This window comes from Homo sapiens, chromosome 18, assembly GCF_000001405.40.
Source record: "Homo sapiens chromosome 18, GRCh38.p14 Primary Assembly".
NCBI classification, from domain to species: domain Eukaryota; kingdom Metazoa; phylum Chordata; class Mammalia; order Primates; family Hominidae; genus Homo; species Homo sapiens.
In genome coordinates, this window is record NC_000018.10 from 8,317,782 (window position 1) to 8,337,898 (window position 20,117).

The window sequence follows — 20,117 nt, forward strand, 5'->3', positions numbered from 1 at the left end:
AATACAGGCCACTGTGGACTCTCTGGGTGACTTCACCATCAGATGAGTCCCTCCTAACTACTGGGCACCTTGTTAGGCCCTCGGACATATAGTATGGATAAGTCAAGCAAGGTTGTTGCCCTTGTGGGACTTAGCAGCCAGTGAGAAATGAGTGATGGTCTAAAGAGTTCTATTTAATATTGGTCATGGCTCTATAATTTGAGACCTACAGCAAGTCAATTGTATAAAAGAATGTGTTTGCTTTTGTTGTTCATTGTTTTCAACTTGTTTTTAAGGGCAAAATGATCTAACATGTGCATTTAAGTTATCTGAGAAATCTGAGTTTTCTCTTCAAGTTTCTTTTTTCTGTTTTCCAACCAGTTTTGGGCATGGTATTTTGGGCAATCTTGGGGGACAGAAATAGAAAATATTAAGATCCATGGTGATATGTTAGCTGGCTGTAATTTTCTCTGAGTGGATATTTTCTTTCCCAGATACTTATCCTACAATTTTTTTGTTTCCTTCTTTTTTTTTTTTTTTTTTTTTTTTTTTTTGAGACAGGGTCTCACTTTGTCACCCAGGCTGAAGTACAGTGGTGCAATCTTGGCTCACTGCAGCCTGGAACCCCTGGGCTTATGCAATCCTCCTGCCTCAGTCCCCAAAGTAGGTGGGACTACAGGTGCATGCCACCACACCTGGCTAATTTTTGTATTTTTTGTAGAGATGGCTTTTTGCCATGTTGTGCAGGCTGGTCTCAAACTCCTAAGCTCAAGCAGTCTGCCTGCCTCAGCCTCCCCAAAGTGCTGGGATCACAGGCATCAACCACCACACCTGGCCCTTTTTCTTTGGCCTCAATTTTTATCTGTCTTGTTTCTTATAGGGTCATGATAAAAGGAAGGAATCTTTCAGAACTTCTGCCTCTTTAAATTCCTGGCCCTTGCTACAGTAGCATGTCATGGTATTAGCAGTGTTTAAGAATGGTTTTGAGGATCACTATTGATATAACTGTCTATACCAGTATAACAGAATGTGTGTTAAACCCTTGGCATATTGCCAATGACATCCCAAACACAAATGAAATTCTGTTGCAAATTCTCAGTTTGTTTGCACTTTGTAAGAGTAATGCTCATGTTATTTCAGAGAATCCATAAGTTGTTAGTGTTTCTTGCTCATCCATCATCTCATAGCCAGTTATGATTAAGTTACCCACACCTTTGGTGCAAGCATCAGAACTGTTGTATTTGATGCGCCTTCACTAATTAAGAGAAACTCAGTGGTGCTGGGTTGGCCATTTAACTTTCAGGTGATGCAGCTATTGGCGTTTGTGTGCACATTCCTTTCAGCAAAGTTAGCATGCGACTTATCTGCTGTTTATCGATTTTATGTTTATCAAATATTCTCTTTTATTTATTTTTAGGGTTATCATCGACCCAATCATTACATTGCTACCCAAGGTAAGTTTATTTCTACTTTGTTGTCTTTCTTTGTTTCTTTTGCCCACTTCCTATCATTTTGTACCCACTTCACCCTCCTTCAGGAAGATATTGCACATTTATTGCGGTTCTAGCCATCGGCAGGTACACTCTTGCCTTCCCATCAGACATTCTGGTCATGTAAATCATTTAGTTAGAACTTCATGTTGAGATCATTAGGAGAAATGTGTCCATCAATTCCTTATTGAATTCAATATGTCTACCTTAGGAGTAAGTTGGACATTTGCAAAAGTAGATGTATAGATAGCCATTCCATCAATATACACCAGCTGCTCTCTACACAGGGAACTGTGCTGGTTGCTGCTGGAGAGCTAGGCTGAATCCAGCAAGCACCCCCTTCTCACAGTGGTTGTGTTTAGTGGGGAAGATGTGCAGTCACCTGTATGTACTTTAGTAGGTACAGTGGCAGGTGACATCTGTGAGAGGAACAGATACAGATAAAACATTAGGGATATTTGGAGCAGGAAGGGGTTGCTTTCCGGTGGGATGACTCAAAAACCGTTTTGTGGCAGAGGTGAGATTGGGAAGAGCCCTTGTGAATGGAGAAACATCATGAGCAAAGATGTGGAAGCAGAAAGTTAGTTCTCCCAGGTGGAAAGCAGCTGGTGGGTCACCTTGGCTAAAGGAAACAGAAGAGCTAGAGGACATGTTGAGGAAGCTCATGGCAGTGGTTTTTGGGTGATTTTCCCAGCGTATGAAGTGGGTCATCTGCAGATGGTGGGGGTCATGAGGGAGCGAGGTTTTAGAGAATGAGGCATCCTAAAGGATGAGTCAGTGAGTCAATATGGGATGAACTGAAGAAGGAGTAAGAAGCAGAGAAGACCCAGCTAAGGCTGAACAGCACATGTTCTCCCCATTTTATTATTTTATCATTGTTTTCAGCAATAGGCTACATCCCAGGAACAGTAGCAGGGAAGTGAAAAGGATGTGATCTGCCAAAGGTTAGGCATGGGGGCAGGGTGTACACAGACAGTCAGTGACAAGGGAATCAACGATGCCAAGATAATTGGGGTTGGAAAGTCCAGGCTTGGACGAAGGGCAATCAGAGGTGTCCACTGGACCGTGAGGAGAGGGAAGGAGTTAACAGATTGAGGCTGGGTCCCATTGATGAGTCATAGCTTAGGAAAAGAGGCAGTTGTAGCCAGAGAGCAGAATTCCAATGCTTGGATCTGCCTGTGCAGTAGAACTTTCTGCAGTGGTGGGAATGCTCTCTATCTGCACTGTCCGATATCATAGCTACAAATCACATGTGGCTCCTGCATACTTGAAATACAGCTACTACAAATGAGGAACTGAATTTTAAATTTTAATATTGATAGAAATAGCTACATTTGGTTATTCCCTGTGGTGGCATTGGACAGCAAAGCTTTGGGGTGGAAAAGCTCCAGCTATGGCTGAAATGGAGCCACTGTGGAAACTGATCCTGCCCCATGCCCACAGCCACCCCAAGAACCTGGGTGACACCACACAGAGTCCACAGTCTCACATCACCACTAGGTTACTCTGCACTCAGGTCTAGATGACCTGCTGGAGCTCCCACTGTCTTTCATCATCTATGACTTGAAGTTGGTAATGGCTCCTTCCAAGGTCACTTTGCTAGCTAGATGCAAAGTTGTCTGTAGAGTTTCCAGTATGAACCTGGCACAAAGCAGGCCCTACTACATAGAGGTTGCTGAGGTCTTCAGGAAGCAAGGCTCAGCTTGAGCTCTTACATATGGGATAGAACAAGGATGCATGTCAGAGTCTGGTCCTAGACATCTCCTAACCCTGCTGCTTCCAAACGGAATTCATCAATGCCGTTAGAGGAACCTGTTGTTAGGGGTTTGAAATTCATTCTGATGGCTTTCAGAATGTTCTGAATTAAGCCTCACAACATCAGATTTAATACATTCTATGATAATTTGAAATTAACAGTTTTTGTAAATTCGTGTGAAAATTTGATTGTAAAATACCCAAAATACTCCCGAGCTTCATTTCTCTCCAATAACTTGATTAGCAAGCTATGTTTTCATAGATAACAAGAACATTAAGTTGCTCTTATTTGTATTTTCAATATTGAGGCCCTCTAGATTAAGGTGACTAAACGAACAGCTAAAGTAGAGACTGAAACTGCCAAGTCTAGACATGGCTCTTTACCAGGCTTCCTTCCCTTTGTCCATTCTCTCTGCCCCTCTCCCCCTGTAAGAGATTATTCTTTAAAGAGAAATGCCAATAGAGAAGTCACTTTCTGCAGAATTCATGTGAGTGATACTTAATAGCTCAGTAACCCTCTCTGGCAGCATTCTAGTGTTAATGAGCAAATGTATTTGTAAGCAGATAAGAAATAGCAAATGTCATCAGTTTGCAGTAGACAATCAGTCTGCCCTTAATGGAGAAGGGCATTGACTAATGCCCTGTTTACCAGGTCGTGGCAGCCTTTCCCTGGTACAAGGTGGGCTGCAGATTGGACTTCTCAAACTGGCAGTACTAACATCACTGCTGGTGGCGGTGCAGGGAGAGGAGGGAAAATGAATGAATATTTTTAATCTAACATGCAGTCAAGAATATACATATCATATTAAGAATAATACATTCATACCATGATGTTCAGATGAGAAAGCTAGAATCTTCTATTATATACCAGAAGATAATGGACTAATAGCCTTAGATCACCAGTAATCAAGATCACTGATGATAATCTTCACTAATTGGCATGGACAGGTAGAATATGTTCGTAGATCACCTTTGTTGAAAAACAAACAAACAAAACATTAATACCTCCAAGAGGCCAACAAAATGGGCAATGAAGACCAACAGGCAGATGCAGTCTTTAAATGTCTTCTTGCTCTATTTGTCCTGTGTTTTGCACTAACATAATTCTTTAAAATATATTCACAGCAGGAACCTATGAAACTATACAAATGGTGCAATTTGCTGACAACCAGTTTTACTTCCAAGAGTTAGTAATGCACAGATGTTCATCAAGTTCCTTCAATACAGAGGACATATTATAAATTTAAGTATTGGGTCTCCTCCTCCCATCCACCCTCAATTTTATTGATTTTTCTAGCTGTAACTGACTTTGACCTTTGATAATAATGGGTGACGTTTCTGCAAATTGAAAGCATCCCATTCAAGCCAGATCTGTTGCTTTTTTAGTATTAATATGTTCTTCCTATCTCCCCTTGGTTTAATTGTCTTCTGTCTGGCCACTAATATATGATGACCCAATATTAACTTCATCATGTCTGACTGACCAGACATTAGTGCAACAGTAACATTCAAGATTTATGATTTAGCAAACCAGGAGCTCAAAGGAGAGGAAGTCATGTCCACTACTGCATGTCTCTGTATGTAGAGGCAGGGCAGAGTGAAGATTTCAAAAGCAGGCTCAAGTGATGGGCAGAAGAGCATGCAAGTGGGTAGGATTGCCCAGAAGTGATCGTATTTCACAATCAAAATGCAACCTTGGAGATTATGTGGCCTGCAAGCTGGATGAAGCCACACACATAAGAACCGACTGGATAGAACACCTGCTGGCCTCATGGTGGCAGCCATGGGGGCCCTGGATAAGTGTTCTTTTGATTTTTGTTTGGTTTTGTTTAGAGACATGATTTCACTCTGTCACCTAGACTGGAGTGCAGTAGTGGGATCATAGCTTACTGAAGCATCGAACTCCTGGGCTCATGTAATTCTCCCACCTCAGCCTCCAAAGCATCTAGGACCACAGTTGCACACCATGCCTGACTAATGTATTTTATTTTATTTTTTGTAGATTTAGGATCTCCCTAAATCTGTGTTGTCCAGGCTGGTCTCAGACTCCTGGGCTCATAGGAGCCTCCCACCGTGGCCTCCCAAAGCGCTGGGATTACAGGCATGAGTCATTGCACTCGGCTTTGTTTAGTTTTAATTTTAAAACTTACCTCAAGAGTCAGATAACTCAGGGAAAGACCATGCAAGGCTGTTACTGAAGAAAGTGCTGTGAGTGTGTTCTAGACATGGCTTGCACAGTCCTGAGCATCCTTCCTCACTTCTAAGTGAGCATTTTCCAGAGTCATTTGTGCACCGGGATCCCCCAAGAAAGAGGCTCAGGCCTGGTGTGGTCTTTCCTGTGTACTGCATGCTCACCCCCCAAAACCATATGGTTAATCCAGATCCAGCCCCTGCTTTCTAAGTTATGATGCTTCTCATGACAACACAATAAAAAGCAAATGTTCGATGATAGTCATGTCTGAAAATACATGTTAATTATTATTGTCTTCAATGTTGTAACCTGAGCTATAGATTGTTGAGATGCACGCGTTACTTTTTTGAGTTTAGGTGCCTCAATGCCCACTTCATCATTTCTTTCTTTCTGAACTGTGCTAATTTGACAGGGTTGACTACCTGATTGGGGTTCCGAACTTAGCCTTCATCTTGCCATATATAGTTTCTTTTTGTCTCCATCAGCATTAGCTCTGTACAGCACCCTGTAGAGTCCAGGACTAGAGAGAGGATCTCCAAACAGAAGCCCCCATGCCCACGTGAGAACAGGGAGACGCTTGTGCCCCCAACCATGTTTTCCATAGGACCGCCCAGCCATGTGCACTCTGGCCCAAATGTCCCTCACCTTTGGAAGACACAGAACTTCCTTCAAAACTAATGAAATATCAAGATCGTTTCCCCAGAAAGAAAATTTCATTTAAGGTGGTTCATGGACTACCCCCACCCCCCAATTTTACTCATGAATTATAGTAATTCTATGGACCTCAGGTTATGAACTTTACTTTGGTCAGAAACATTAAAAGCTATTTGGGGATAAGACAGAAACCATAGACTTAATTAATCTACTTTTTAAAATTATACTTTAAGTTCTGAGGTACATGTGCAGAACATGCAGTTCTACTTTTTAAAAAACCATACTTAGGGGTTAACAAAATGTCACAGATTGTTTATAACTATGTGAAATACATTCCTGAAAGCATCAAAATTTTTACTAACTTTAACAAACTATTACTAAAATGTTTACTAGCCTAACCCTGTAGTAAAATACCCTAGAGTATTGTTATAATCGTTAGTATTTTGAACCATGGTCAGTTTGGGTTTTACGGTTCATCTCAGGCTGGGTTTTCTGCCTATCTGTTATTTTGCATTCGTGCTGAAAAGTTTATGCCTTTGCTCACCTTTCAACAATTTTAGCAATTATAATATATTAGAAAATGCTCTCTCTGAATGACAGAGACTAGAGTAGCAGGTCCCATAGCTGATGTTTATTTTGTAAAAGCAGGATGTAGTAGAAATAACACATGTACCACAGCCAGAAGGCTGGGATCCAAATTCTTGTGCTGTCACAGAAAAGGTATTTGAACTTCCTAAACTTATTTCAGGTAGAGTCCTGGTGTTTGGTAAATAGTAATAATAGTCAAGACCTTACCATGTGCCAGACAGCATTCCCAGCACTCACACATACAGAGCTCATTTCATCTTTACCACAAATATGGGAGATATATGGGATTGTCCCCAATTTATAAATGAGAGGAAAGGAGACAAAGAAACTTGAAATAATATGCTCCAAGTCACAGACCTAAAAGTGCAAAGGCCAGATTCAAGTGTAGCCACTGAACTCCAGCATCAAGGCTCCTCCCCACCTCACTATACTGCCTCCCATAGGTGACCTTGGGGATTACTTTAACTCATGTATGTATCAATGCTTAGAGCAATTCCTGGCATGGAGCAAATGCCATGTATGCGTGACCTGTTACTGTTTTTGAGAAACAGCACAGAATCGCTTAATCATTAGGAACACAGACTCTGGAACTACATTGTCTGAACTCAACCCCCAACCCTGGTTCCTCCATTGGCAACTTGTGTGACCTTGGACAAGTTACTTAACATCTCTGTGCTCATCATAAATGAAGATGAAAATAGTCTACCTTGTAGGGAGCTATTTATTTATTTTTTAACTTTTAGGTTCAGGGGTACATGTGCAGGTTTGTTATACAGGTAAACTGCATGTCATGAGGGTTTGGTGTACAGATTATTTTGTCACCCAGATAATAAGCATAATACCCGATAGGTAGTTTTTTAATCCTCTCCCTCCTCCCACCCTCTACCCTCAGGTAGGTCCCAGTGTCTGTTGCTGCCTCCTTTGTGCCCATGTGTTCTCAGTGTTTAACTCTCACTAACAAGTGAGAACATACAGTGTTTGATTTTTCCGTTCCTGCGATTGGTCAGTTAGGATAATGGCCTCCAGCTTTATCCATGTTGCTGCAAAGGACATAATCTCATTCTTTTTTATGGCTGCATAGTATTCCATGGTATATTTGTACTACATTTTCTTTATCCAGTCTACTGTTCATGGGCATTTTGGTTGATTCCATGTCTTTGCCAGTGTGAATACTGCTGTGATGAACACATGTATGTATGTATCTGAATCACGCATGAATCATATAGAATGATTTATTTTTCTTTGGGTATACAGCCAATAATGGGATTGCTGGGTCAAGTGGTACTTCTGTTGTAAGTTCTTTGAGAAATTTCCCACACTGCTTTCCACAATGGCTGAACTAATTTACATTCTCACCAGCACTCTATAAGCGTTCCATCTTCTCCACAACCTCTCCAGCATCTGTTATTTTTTCTTTTTAATAATAGCCATTCTAATTGGTGTGAGATGGTATCTCATTGTGATTTTAATATGCATTTATCTAACAATTGGTGATGTTGAGCATTTTTTCATATACTTGCTGGCCGCATGGTACCTTTTCAAGTGTATCTGTTCCTGTTTTTTGCCAAATTTTTAATGGGGTTATTTGGCTTTTGCTTGTTAATTTGTTTAAGTTCCTTATAGACTCTGGATATTAGACCTTTGTTGGATGCATAGTTTGAAAATGTTTTCTCCCATTCTGTAGGTTTTTCTGTTTATTCTCTGGATAGTTTTTCTTGTTGTGCAGAAGCTCTTTAATTAGGTCTGATTTGTCAATTTTTGTATTTGTTGCAATTGCTTTTGACATCTGAGGAGGTGTAAGATCTCTACAGCGAGAACTACAAAACACTGCCCAAAGAAATCAGGGATGATACAAACAGTGAAAAAATATTCCATGCTCATGGATAGGAAGAAGCAATATTGTTTAAATGGCCCTACTGCTCAAAGCAATTTACAGATTCAATGCTATTCCTATCAAACTACCAATGACATTCTTCACAGAATTAGAAAAAACTATTTTAAAATTCATACAGTACCATAGAAGAGCCCAAATAGCCAAGGCAATCCTAAGCAAAAAGAACAAAGCTGGAGGCATCACTTTATGTGACTTGAAACTGTACTACATGGCTACAGTAACCAAAACAGCATGGTACTGGTACAAAAGCACACACGTAGACCAACAGAACAGAATAGAGAGCCCAGAAATGGTGCCACACACCTACAACCATCTGACCTTTGCAAAGTTGACAAAAACAAGCAATGGGGAAAGGACTCCCCATTATTAATATTATTGAATAATAAATGGTGCTGGGATAACTGGCTAGCCATATGCAGAAGATTGAAACTGGACCCCTTCCTTATACCATATACAAAAATCAATTCAAGATGAATTAAAGAATTAAATGTGAAACCTCAAACTATAAAAATCCTGGAATATAACCTAAGAAATAGCATTTTGGACATAGGCCCCAGCAAAGGGGCCTTTTCTTTTTAATACCCAGTAAGTTGCCCATTTACAAAATAATGTCCTTTTTTGCTGACCTTGAAAATATACTCAGACAAAGCAGAGTAGGTCTTACTAATTGCATATGTTCACATTTCAAAATGTAAGTAGTCTTATGTAAACCCCTAAATAGCTAGTGACATGAACTTTTCATTTCTCACATGTGAACAAACTTAAACTGTGCATAGTTAAGAAGCCTTGGAACAATTCATAGAGATTGTGATCTGTGGAGAACTGGCTATCCAGATAGGCCCCACCACATGCCATTGACCTTATCACCGCCATCACTGTCTTCCTTTTATGCTCAGAGGATCCAGATGCCCAGTGTCATCTTTGAGGATGCCAGGTCACATTGGCAAAGACCACAGAAACTGATATGGAGAACCAGATGCCAGATAGTCATTTACAATGAAAACTGTAACCACCCATCAGACAGAACTGCCAAGGTCAGGCAGGGGCATTCTGTGTGAAGAGGAAGATGCCTTGGCAGAAGATCACTTCATCATGACCAGGGCATCTGAAGAAGGGGTCGGAGAGTTTATTCATGATTCAATAAGTATGCACCACCTGTCTTGTAGTGAGTTGGCATAAAACATAAGCTCAGTAAGAACACAAGAATGAATGAGTGAATGAGTAAATGAATGGATTGGGACTTACGATGTGCCACGCACCACTTAGACAGTAGAATATCTCAGCCAGGTAGAGAGGATGGCTCATGTTGGCCCGGCAAAGCCAAAATCCTGGGGCAGATTTTGGTGGCATTATCTCCAACATCTCTGACTATTTCTGTTTCAAGTTAAGGGCTGGTCAGCTTCTATTCTTAGAAACACTTTCTTTACATATGTCAGTAAATCAAATCCTGTATTTAGAGACAGTCCATCTTGTTAAACTAACTTTGCTTGGCTCTACCCTGACCCTGTTTGTGTAACCCCTGTCCCCATACATATAATCAGTTTTGTCTGTAGTTATAATTTGTCCATAATTTGAAAAAGAGAAGCCTAAAAAGTTCCCTCCAGACACTTTCAGCTAGGAACAAACTTTTATGTGAAAATAATAAAAATGTGGGGAGTGAAGGTTTATAGTGGAAATATTTACAGAGCCTCAAACACTGCACAACAGTTCAAACTTTGTTGTAGTGCCTTCATTCTTTTTGCTGTCAGTTTGTTTTTCTTCTATCTTTATTCCACATACTTCTGGTATAGGTTTAATAAGGATTTTTCAAAAAGATAAATATGGTTTATATTTTCCCAGCTCAAAATTCCCCTTCAGGCCTCTGAAGCAATAAATAATAGTGCTTTGAATGCTGCACTCACTTTCCTGGGCAAGCCATTCCGGTAGTGGAGGGTTCTCAGAGCGTCAGTGTAACTTCTGCACACTCTGTAAAGCAGCTTTTTTCTCTTGCATTCTGGCCTCCAGATGGAGATGAACACTTGAAATTATTTCTCAGTAGAATTGAAAGAACTTTTTTTTAAATCAAAAGCTCAGCCTTCAGTAAACAACTTTTGTTTTTATTCTTCCAAGAACCAGTGCAGCTTGCACTTCAAGTGCAAATTCTGTGTTAGCTAGCACTGTGCTTCCTGGCAAAGTTGTTCCTGCATTGTCAGTGAGTTGTAGGTTATGTTTTGGATTCATTTGTTATGTCCTATTTGAGACTAATTTAAAAGTATTACCTAGTGAAGTGGAGTATTCTCTGGTTTCCAAATTTAAATAGGGATGCTTTGAGAAAATGTGATTTATATACAGGCGAACAGTGACTCCATAAAAGTCACTGTCGTAAGTATTCCAGCGACCCAGGGCCAAGTTTATACAGACCCTGCCTGCATTTTACCAACCATCTGTGGTTTTACAAGAGAGAATGAACAATTGCAATTAGCAGCTTATCCAGAAACTTCCTTTTAAACAATAATTTCTCTTCACTAGATTAATTTCAAAAGATAGTTGCCAATTAGCCAAATGGTCACTTTCATAGACATTTCTCATCCCTGTGCTCTAAATAAACTTGCTCATTAGCAATGAGAACATTTAAAGGAAGAGTTAAAGTTAAAAGATGAAGTAAAAAATAGAGCATGTCAGGTAACATCCACCTATGTTGTTATAGATGCCATAAGGAAAATGTGGCCCTCTAATAAGAGAACCAAAATTAATACAGAATAATTTGAAAATAAATGATGTCCTGTTGTTAAGCAAGCACTCAGATTTAAGGTGTCTTAAAACAAATGCTTTTTAAACCTTCAAGAGTATTTAGAGGGGTTCCTCATTTGAAGTAGAAAATTTGTAGAATCTTTTAGAGGTGACAGAAACTTTAAGAAGCTCACAGTCCAGTTTCCTTGTTTTGTTATTATAACAGTTGGCACTTAAAGCAGAACTATATTTAAGTGACCTTCATCCACATAAGTTCAAGTGAGTCATATATGCAAAAGTATTTGCAAACTGCATGGACTAACGTTCATATTTTAATAGAGTGTGTGCAAAGTTCAACCTAGGAGAAACGTCATATGTTAAGACAGACCTGTTCCCCCATAGGGCCTTTTATTCAACAGGAAGAAAAACTGTGAGGTTACATCTTTCTCTCAGGTTCAGCCCTTTAAAAGGAGAGAGCTGAAACTAATACCCATGTACTTTCCAAAGTGCTGGCTTCCCCGTGCCTCTGGCAACATGAGTCCTTGCAAAGCAAAGCTACTCCTTTACAGCCTGGTTCATTCAAAATTGAACAAAGGTTTCTGTGCACCTGTCACTTGCCAGGATCAGCACACGATCCGGAATATACCAGTGACTTCAGAATTACCCAGTGTGGAGTATAAATAAATGATACCCAACTCTTACTAATTTGTGATTTTAATGCACCCACAGATTTGGGGACTTCATTTTGATTTTTAATTATTTAGATTTTTTTCAAGAGACATGGTCTCACTCTGTCACCCAGGCAGGAGTGTAGTAGCATGATCATAGCTCGCTGTAGCCTCCAGCTCCTCGGCTCAAGGGATCCTCCTGCCTCAGCCTCCTGAGTAGCTAGAACTACAGGGATAAGCAACCACACCTGGCTAATTTTTTATTTTATTTTTTATAGAGACAGGGTTTTGCTATGTTGCTCAGGCTGGTCTCAAACTCCTGGCCTCAAGCAATCCTCCTACCTCAGCCTCCCAAATTGCTGGGATTACAGGCATGAGGCACTGCACCCAACCTAGGAACTTCTTTAAGCCATTTCTCTTCTCCACCCCTACCCCATTTTACAGAAGAAAAAATAAGACCAAGTGCAGCCCTAGAACCACTTTTCCAGAAATCTGGGCACCAGGTTTCTTTTTCACCCATGGGCACAGTTTAGGACCAGTTTTTCAAGGCAGCAAACAGTTTAGGAAGTTTCTAGCTATAACCAGTGACTTTTTTTCTTGCCTTCTCACTCAAAAGGAAGCTGCTGGAAATTTCCTCATGCAACACCCTTCACTGCCATGGAAAATTTGAGACTGTCTGCACTGAGCTATGTCTAGGGAGCCAATTTATCTGTATTTCATTCATTTATTAGATTTATTCTCTTTTTTCTTAAATAAAAGAGGATTCCACTTGTGTACTGAGAAGAGCTTAATTAAGGAAGATAGAGACTAATGAAAGCTTTTATTTCTCTGGCAGTAGCCCCTGAAGCATATGAATATAGGCTGTTCCCTTCACTTTACTTCCTTGACAGAAGGCAGCCAGATCCTTTGGGTCACCAAACCCCTCCATTCTGAAGGCTGCCGTTCATTTTTTTTTTTTTTTGTCCTTGATTGCCGTCTCTCTGTTCCCCTCTTTACAGCATGCGCAAGTACCCAAGCTCAGTTTCTGAGCGTTCTCTTTGGAGACCGACACTGATGAATGCTCTGTACCTCCGCCAGCAGGATGCTTCTGTGCTGTGGACATCTGTCATGTTCCTTCCTTCCGAGGCCACAGCACTTTCTCCTGCGCCTCTTTTTAGCTCCCCATGCATGCCGCCATTCGGTCTGTCCCAGGGATCAGGGACTGAAGGTCCCTCTGGAAGCAGTGTCTCTATCTCTGCATTGTATAGCATATTGTTGCCACACACTACCTACCCCCATTTTATTCTTTTCTATATTAGAGATCCTCTTTGGTGCCCTAATCCATATCCCATCACTCAAATCTGATGGGTCTGCCTTTCTCGACCTGCTTTCTGTGTCAAGAATAATAGAAACCTTTTTGCATTCCTTTTCACAGTGGTACCACTGCAACCTGAAATAGTTTACGTAACTGCTAGGGAGGTCCGATTCTAGAAGAGGACTGAATATCGCCCAAAAAGAATGAAATGCAAATAATGGTTTCTTTCGGTAGATGGAGTTTCCAGAAATGCTTTGGAACATTTCAATTCTAAGAGCAAGTCATGCTAGGCTACAAACCACCCCATTATTGGTTTTACCCATAGATATCTCTTTGCTTTATGCAACATAGTCACAATCAGATCTCTTCAACTTGTTCTTAAAATTTCTTCCATATACAACCATGTTTTATGTCAGTAACTAGGCCAGGACTGTCCGCTCCCCACTAAAAGAAGATAGGCAGAATGGTTAATGAAAGCCTACACTCTAGAGTTGCACAGCCTAGGCTCAGATAGCAGCTCTGCAAGTAACCTCTCAATAGATATTAGCTACTTATTGTTATTATCATTTTGTATGTTCCAAAAGACATATCTCTCAATAGCAGAGAAGCAGTTCAGGTTTTAACCCTAGTATAATGTATACTCATATAGTTTTCATGAAAGCTGATACATCCTACACCTGTTAATGCTTCCTTCCAGAAGGATGTATCAAAGGGAGCCACTTAAGTGTGCACCAACATCCTGTACTCCCTCCAGAGTACAAAGAGTGCCATCATTGTTCACTGTTAAACTGTAGACAAACATAGGTTGGAAAGACAACAGCTGCATCCTAAGCTGGAAAAGCATATTTTCCTTCTGTTTTTGAAGTCTTGCTGAAATTGAGCAGCCTTGATAGCAGCGCCAGCTCCACGTCTTGGTGTTCTGAAGGCTTCCCTGGTGCACACTTAAAGTCAGATGACATGTGAGTGAAAACAGCTTAATTCCAAAGACCAGACAAGTTCCTTCCTAACAGGCTTCATTGAAAGCAGTTCCTGAGATAAGAATTACACAGGGGTGTTTTAGAGAGGAGCTTTAACATGGTAAGTTCCTTATATTTCTTAGGAAGAAAATGGCTATTGATTAAATTTATCTTTATTATAAAGACATACTAAATAATATCTACTATGTAATTATTTGTCCTTTTTGTTTTTAAACATTTCATAATCATTTTAATTGAATAAATGATTAAAAGAAAAGATTATTAACCAGAAAAGAGAAAATAGATGATGGTTGAAGGGTTGTATAGCATATTATAGACAGAGGTTTCCCAGGCTATTTTAGTGTTTATTTAAAACCTGTCCGTTAATGTTTGGTTTATGCCAATTTTCTCTTAATGAAATTTGACATAACCTTTTGGTGTCCAATCAGGATTTCATATGTTTTAGAAATACACCCAGAAACAAACATTCCATGAAACTAAGTATGTAGAGAAAGCCACAAATAGTCACATGGTTTATATTGTCACACTTTCTTACTTCAGTCTGAAATGAGAATTTTGGGGAATGGAATGAGTGAAATGTAAGCATCAACATGTGGGTTGTGTGCGCTGGAGAAAAGGCTAATCGTGGATACAGCGGAAAGTGTATGCCTGATTTTAGGTATAAGAAGAGTACACACCTGCAAGGCAATTTAGAAGAAATTGGGCAAACAGCAAGTACCCGCCAACCAGAGAGGGCCAGGTGAGGGGAAAAGACTCTTGTCACAGGAAACCCTACTCCAGTTGAGAAGAGATGTGTCATTGTGTGGCATCACTGTAATTTATTAACAAAACACTCTTTAACATTTATTATTTAAGTCATCACTTTCAACACTACTTCTAATAAGGTATATTTTATTATAGCTTTTCTCTTCTTTTACTGTCACCAAATTGAAATTCCAGTGGACCAGTGAACACTTCTAACCCTATTATGTAATTCTAGGCATAAAGAGTTTTTCGTGTGAGAGTTGTCCTTAGAAAATGCGATTTTAACAGGCCAGTTATATTTTTGATTTTAGGTTAAAGTATTGCCGAGTTTTCCCCATCATAGAACAATTCTCAGTGTGTTTGCTTGTAATTCATTAGTTGATTTCCATTGTTTCCTTTAAATGGTAATTTTCTTGGGATATTCTTAGCAATTCGGGATAATGAGCAAATCATGTCCCTTATACCCACCCATCTCAACTTTGCTTTTCCTTTTCTGCAGCTGAAACAAAAAATATTTCATGAAAGTTGCATGATTTTAACATAAGTAGCCTCAGGGGAGAACAAATGCAACTATCAAATAAGTGATGTTAAGGATTATTAATGCTGAAGCCAAGTATATTCTGTGTCACTGTTACCACTTCTGTGACACATGAGGCAGATTCAGTTTGTAAAGCATGGTGGCATATTTTACCGTTTACATCTCACTACTGTAAAAATGAAAAGCTACTCAATGTAAAATTATAGACTTAAGTGTTATGGAAGCATCATATTGAAAAATCACATAAAGCTTTATAATAAAAACTTAGAAAACCACTGAAGGGACAACTAGTTCTCTAAATGTTGAGTAACTGACTTCGTAACCCTTATTATAGATTATCACCAACAGCAACAGGAGCAATCATGGATCAAAAATTTAGGACCACTTTTATTCCTGTAGCAAGAGCTTTAAAATGAATGCCTCTCAGGCTCATCGTCTTCTGTGGTTAAGTCCCACCTTCAGCCATCTTCATTGCTGATGGAGGGAACTGGCTGCCAGTGCCCAAAGGAGGGAGCCCAGGTTTCCTGCAGCTGCTTTGCCTTAACATCCCTCCCCTTTCCCTTCGCACTTCTGCCATTCAGTGTGTACCCCCACCCACCACACACTCCCTCCTTCAGGTCCCAGAACCACGCTAGAAACAAACATTCTGGTGATGCGCTCAAACGGGCCCTGGTCTCGGGCAGTTCAGTTCATTCTGCAGTCAGAATAGTGGTGCTGGGCTGACCTGAATTGGAATTCCAGCTTTGCCACATACTGGCAGTGCTGCTGTAACAAAGGCACTTCATCTCCTAAGCCTGTTTCTTGGGCTGGAGTAGGTGCCTCACACTGCTGTGTTGGGGAATGAATGAGATCGTGCATATAAAGAGCAGCATCCAGCACCTGCCTGGCAGGGAGCCATCTAGTTGTACCTATTTATTTGTCCAACACCCTTGTCCTGGGTTCCCCTTATTCCAGCCTAGAAGCCTTGGTTCTCTTATTGCTGACAGAGCTTTAGGGATGGCAAGAGTCCCCCTTGGTTTTAACACTGTCTTCCTAGTACAGCCCCAGTCCTCCCTGGTCTGAATCAAGAGGTCAGCCTATCCACCAATCCCCTGGTTCCTGAGCCCACCTGAGCCTCATTGCCACACTGGGGAGCCTTGGAGCCCACGCTGGCCCTGCCAGCCACACGTGGCCGGCTTAGGGCCTGCCCCCTGCCCTATAGGCTCTGACCTTCCTGCCCCCAGGCTCTCCCTGTGCTGAGCCATCACCTGCAGCCACATTGCTGCTGTCTGTTGGATTCCCGACCCATCACCACCTGGACATTTCTGCTGCAGATCTCCGCCAGCCATTTGGATGCCCAGGGAGCTGTTCTTGCCATAATAATTGTAAAATTATAAAATATGTTTAAACTTTGCCTCTCATTAATCAATACGGACCATCTTTTTGTTCACTGTTCTTTACTGTTCACATTCAACATATTCCTGTTTCTTAGGAGTTGTTTTGTTCAATGGAAAGAGTAGACCCTTCTGCTCTGGACACTGGCGTCTGTCCAGAACATGCAGGAGAGCTCAGTGGGAGCCTTTGGACTTGGCTTTGGATAGCTGGGCTCAGTTTACCATTTCTCTCAGCCCACCGTACCTTGCTCCTCCTGTTCCCACTTCATCCTCAGCTGCTGATGGCTGGTCACACCTAAGGCTGAGCCCACACCTGATCAAACCTCCTTGCAGTACAGGTGCCCCCCGTAGAGTCCGTTCCAACAACCAAACACTTCTTCCTCTGTTTTCTTTCTCTGATTTTTCCCGAGCTTTGATTCTAAAACCGGAACTTTCCTTAGTCATGTTTTTTAGTATCTGTCATGGTTGTCTTCCACTCCTAAAATCTGAACTTGCAAATCTTATCAGAATTTTACATTTCCTACAAGAGGGCCCCATGGGAGTCTCCTTCCCTCCCAAGTGGCAACAAGTGGCTCCTGCTGGAGGACCTGCTATCCCCACCCTCCCTCCCCTCTCCCCTCCTTCAGAGTCATACCCTGTCCTTTGAGACCTATGGCAGGTACCTGACTTCAACAATGCTAGTCCTGCTACTGCGTCGCCAGTCAGACCTAAGCTCTTCCTGACTTTGACTGCCACAGGCATCCTCATACATCAGTTACCGACCCTGGCCTTCAGACTTTTCTTCTTGTGTATCCCCAAAAGAAGTTTGAAGAAATTATGCACCTGCTCTAAACATTTGAGTTTGATATCGAAAACTTTCATCACATGTTTATGTAAGTGTATTTGTTAATAAGAGATAGACAGTATGAAATACTTTCTAAGACAAAATGAGGATTGGTGTAATTAAGATAAATATTTTATGATATGTGGTGTTTTTTAACTGCCTTACAGATTCAAGCATACCAAACCTGAAAGAAAACTCATGAAACTTTCACTTACGGGTTTCATCCAAGAAAATTTGGCTCTCCTCGAAAGCATTCTGGTTCCATTTAAAAGAGTAAATATGGCCAGGCGTGGCAGCTCACGCCTGTAATCCCAGCACTTTGGGAAGCTGAGGCGGGCAGATCATTTCAGGTCAGGAGCTGGAGACCAGCCTGGCCAACACAGCAAAACCCCATCTCTACTATAAACACAAAAGCTAGCTGGGCGTGGTAGCGCACGCCTGTAGTCCCAGCTACTCTGGAGGTTGAGCCAGGAGAATCACTTGAACCCAGAAGCCAGAGGTTACAGTGACCCATGATCGCGCCACCGCACTCCAGCCTGGGTGACAGAGAGAGACTCTGTCTCATAAAAAATAAATAAATAAATAAATAAATAGTAATAAATATTACCAACCTCTACTGCTTCAAGGGTTCTGAGTTCAGAACATCTTAACATAAGCCAAAATGCTAAGTTTTACTCCTCACAGAATTGTTTCAGACAGGGAAGTGAGTTTCTGGAGCCAGAATTCCAGCCCAAACCTGTAGGTTTTTACACCTGGGCAGTGCCCCATGGTCATATTTGAGATAGGTGGTTTTTCAAGTGTATGAAAGACTATTGTGAGGCTGGACACAGTGGCTCATCCCTGCAATCCCAGCACTTTGAGATGATGAGGCAGGCAGATTGCTTGAATCTAGGAGTTACAAACCAGCCCGGGCAACATAGTGAGACCCTATCTCTACCAAAAGTACAAAAATTAGCTGGGCATAGTGCCTGTGGTCCAAGCTACTCAGGAGGCTGAGGTGGGAGGATCACTTGAATCAAGGAGGTCAAGGCTACAGTGAGCCGTGATCATACCACTGCACTCCAGCCTGGGCGACAGAGCTAGACTCTGTCTCAAAAAAAAGAAAGAAAGAGAGACAGACAGAGACAGACAGAGAGAGAGAAAAGAAGAGAGGAGGAGGGGGAGGGAGAGGAGGAGGAGGAGGAAAAAGAAGGAGAAGAAGGAGGAGGAGGAGGAGAGAAGGAGGAAGAGAGGGGAAGGAAAGGGAAAGGTAGGGTCACACCTGTAATTTCAGCACTTTGGGAGGCTGAGGCGGGCAGATCATGAGGTCAGGAGATCGAGACGTTGGTGAAACCCCATCTCTGCTAAAAATACAAAAATTATACAAAAATTAGCTGGGTGTGGTGGTGCGTGCCTGTAGTCTCAGCTACTCAGAAGGCTGAGCCAGGAGAATTGCTTGAACCCAGGAGATGGAGGTTGCAGTGAGCCAAGATCACGCCACTGCACTCCAGCCTGGCAACAGAGCAATCGTCAAAAAAATGTATATAATAATACATTTTAAAAAGAAAGAAAAGAAAAGAGAAAAGAAGTGGAAAGAAAAGAAAGACTATTGCATATGGAGGCTGGAGACTCCTGCCTAGGGAATAAGTTTTGGCAGAGTCCTTATAGATATTAAGTATCTGGAAATTAATACTTGAAAAACTACTCATATATGCCTTAGATCGTCTTTATGTATCTCCAAGGGTATGCATAGCTCAGTTTGAGGAGGTTTTTTTCAATTTTTTGAGACAGGTATGTTGCACAGACTGGTCTCAAACTCCTGGGCTCAAGCAATCCTCCCATCTCTGCCTCTGAGTAGCTGGAATTACATCAGTTGAGGTTTAAGTGTCCCAGGATGTTTGCCTTACTGTACTTTACATGAGAGTGTGGGCTGTTCTTATCTTATCTCTACCTCAGAAAATTTCAAGCTTCTGGATGGTGGAGACCATGTATGTATTACTCACCTTTACATCTCTACTATACCTCACAGAATGCCTGGCATTTAACACTAGGCTGAGTGCTTAACTGCTGCACGCAGGGGTGGCCACTCATACCCACTGGGGCCAGGACAGTGGTATAAACGAACAAAGCAAGTTAGGCATGAGGCCACGTTAGGAAAATGTGCATGGAAAACACACTGGCAGCACAACTCACTTTAAACATCATGAAGAAACAGGGAGCCTCCACTTGGGTCTTGGAAAAGTGACCTGAGGAAGTGACTTTTGGACTGCTCAGCTGAAACCAGCAAGGAGATGTGCAGGCTTTAAGTGACGCATCAGCAGAGGGGGGTCTTGCGGGAGGACGCTGGGAAGGAGCGTGAGGGAGATAGATGGTCAGGGAGGGGCAGGTGCCCTGACACAGTCCAGGCACAGACTGTGTGGGACCGCATTTGCCTTATTAAAGAATTTAGGGCTTACTCTGA

The 20,117-nt window shown here is 41.5% G+C and overlaps 1 protein-coding gene across 29 annotated transcripts in view; it reads left to right on the top strand.

Annotated features, from left to right (window-relative positions):
* The window catches only part of PTPRM (protein tyrosine phosphatase receptor type M), an 839,541-nt gene that overhangs the window by 750,466 nt on the left and 68,958 nt on the right, over window positions 1-20,117 (top strand). For all 29 annotated transcript variants that reach the window (XM_011525708.3, XM_047437715.1, XM_011525712.3 and 26 more), the window contains one exon: window positions 1,397-1,433. In XM_011525708.3, coding sequence (XP_011524010.1) covers window positions 1,397-1,433 — 37 coding nt within the window. The remainder of the gene's footprint in view (window positions 1-1,396; window positions 1,434-20,117) is intronic.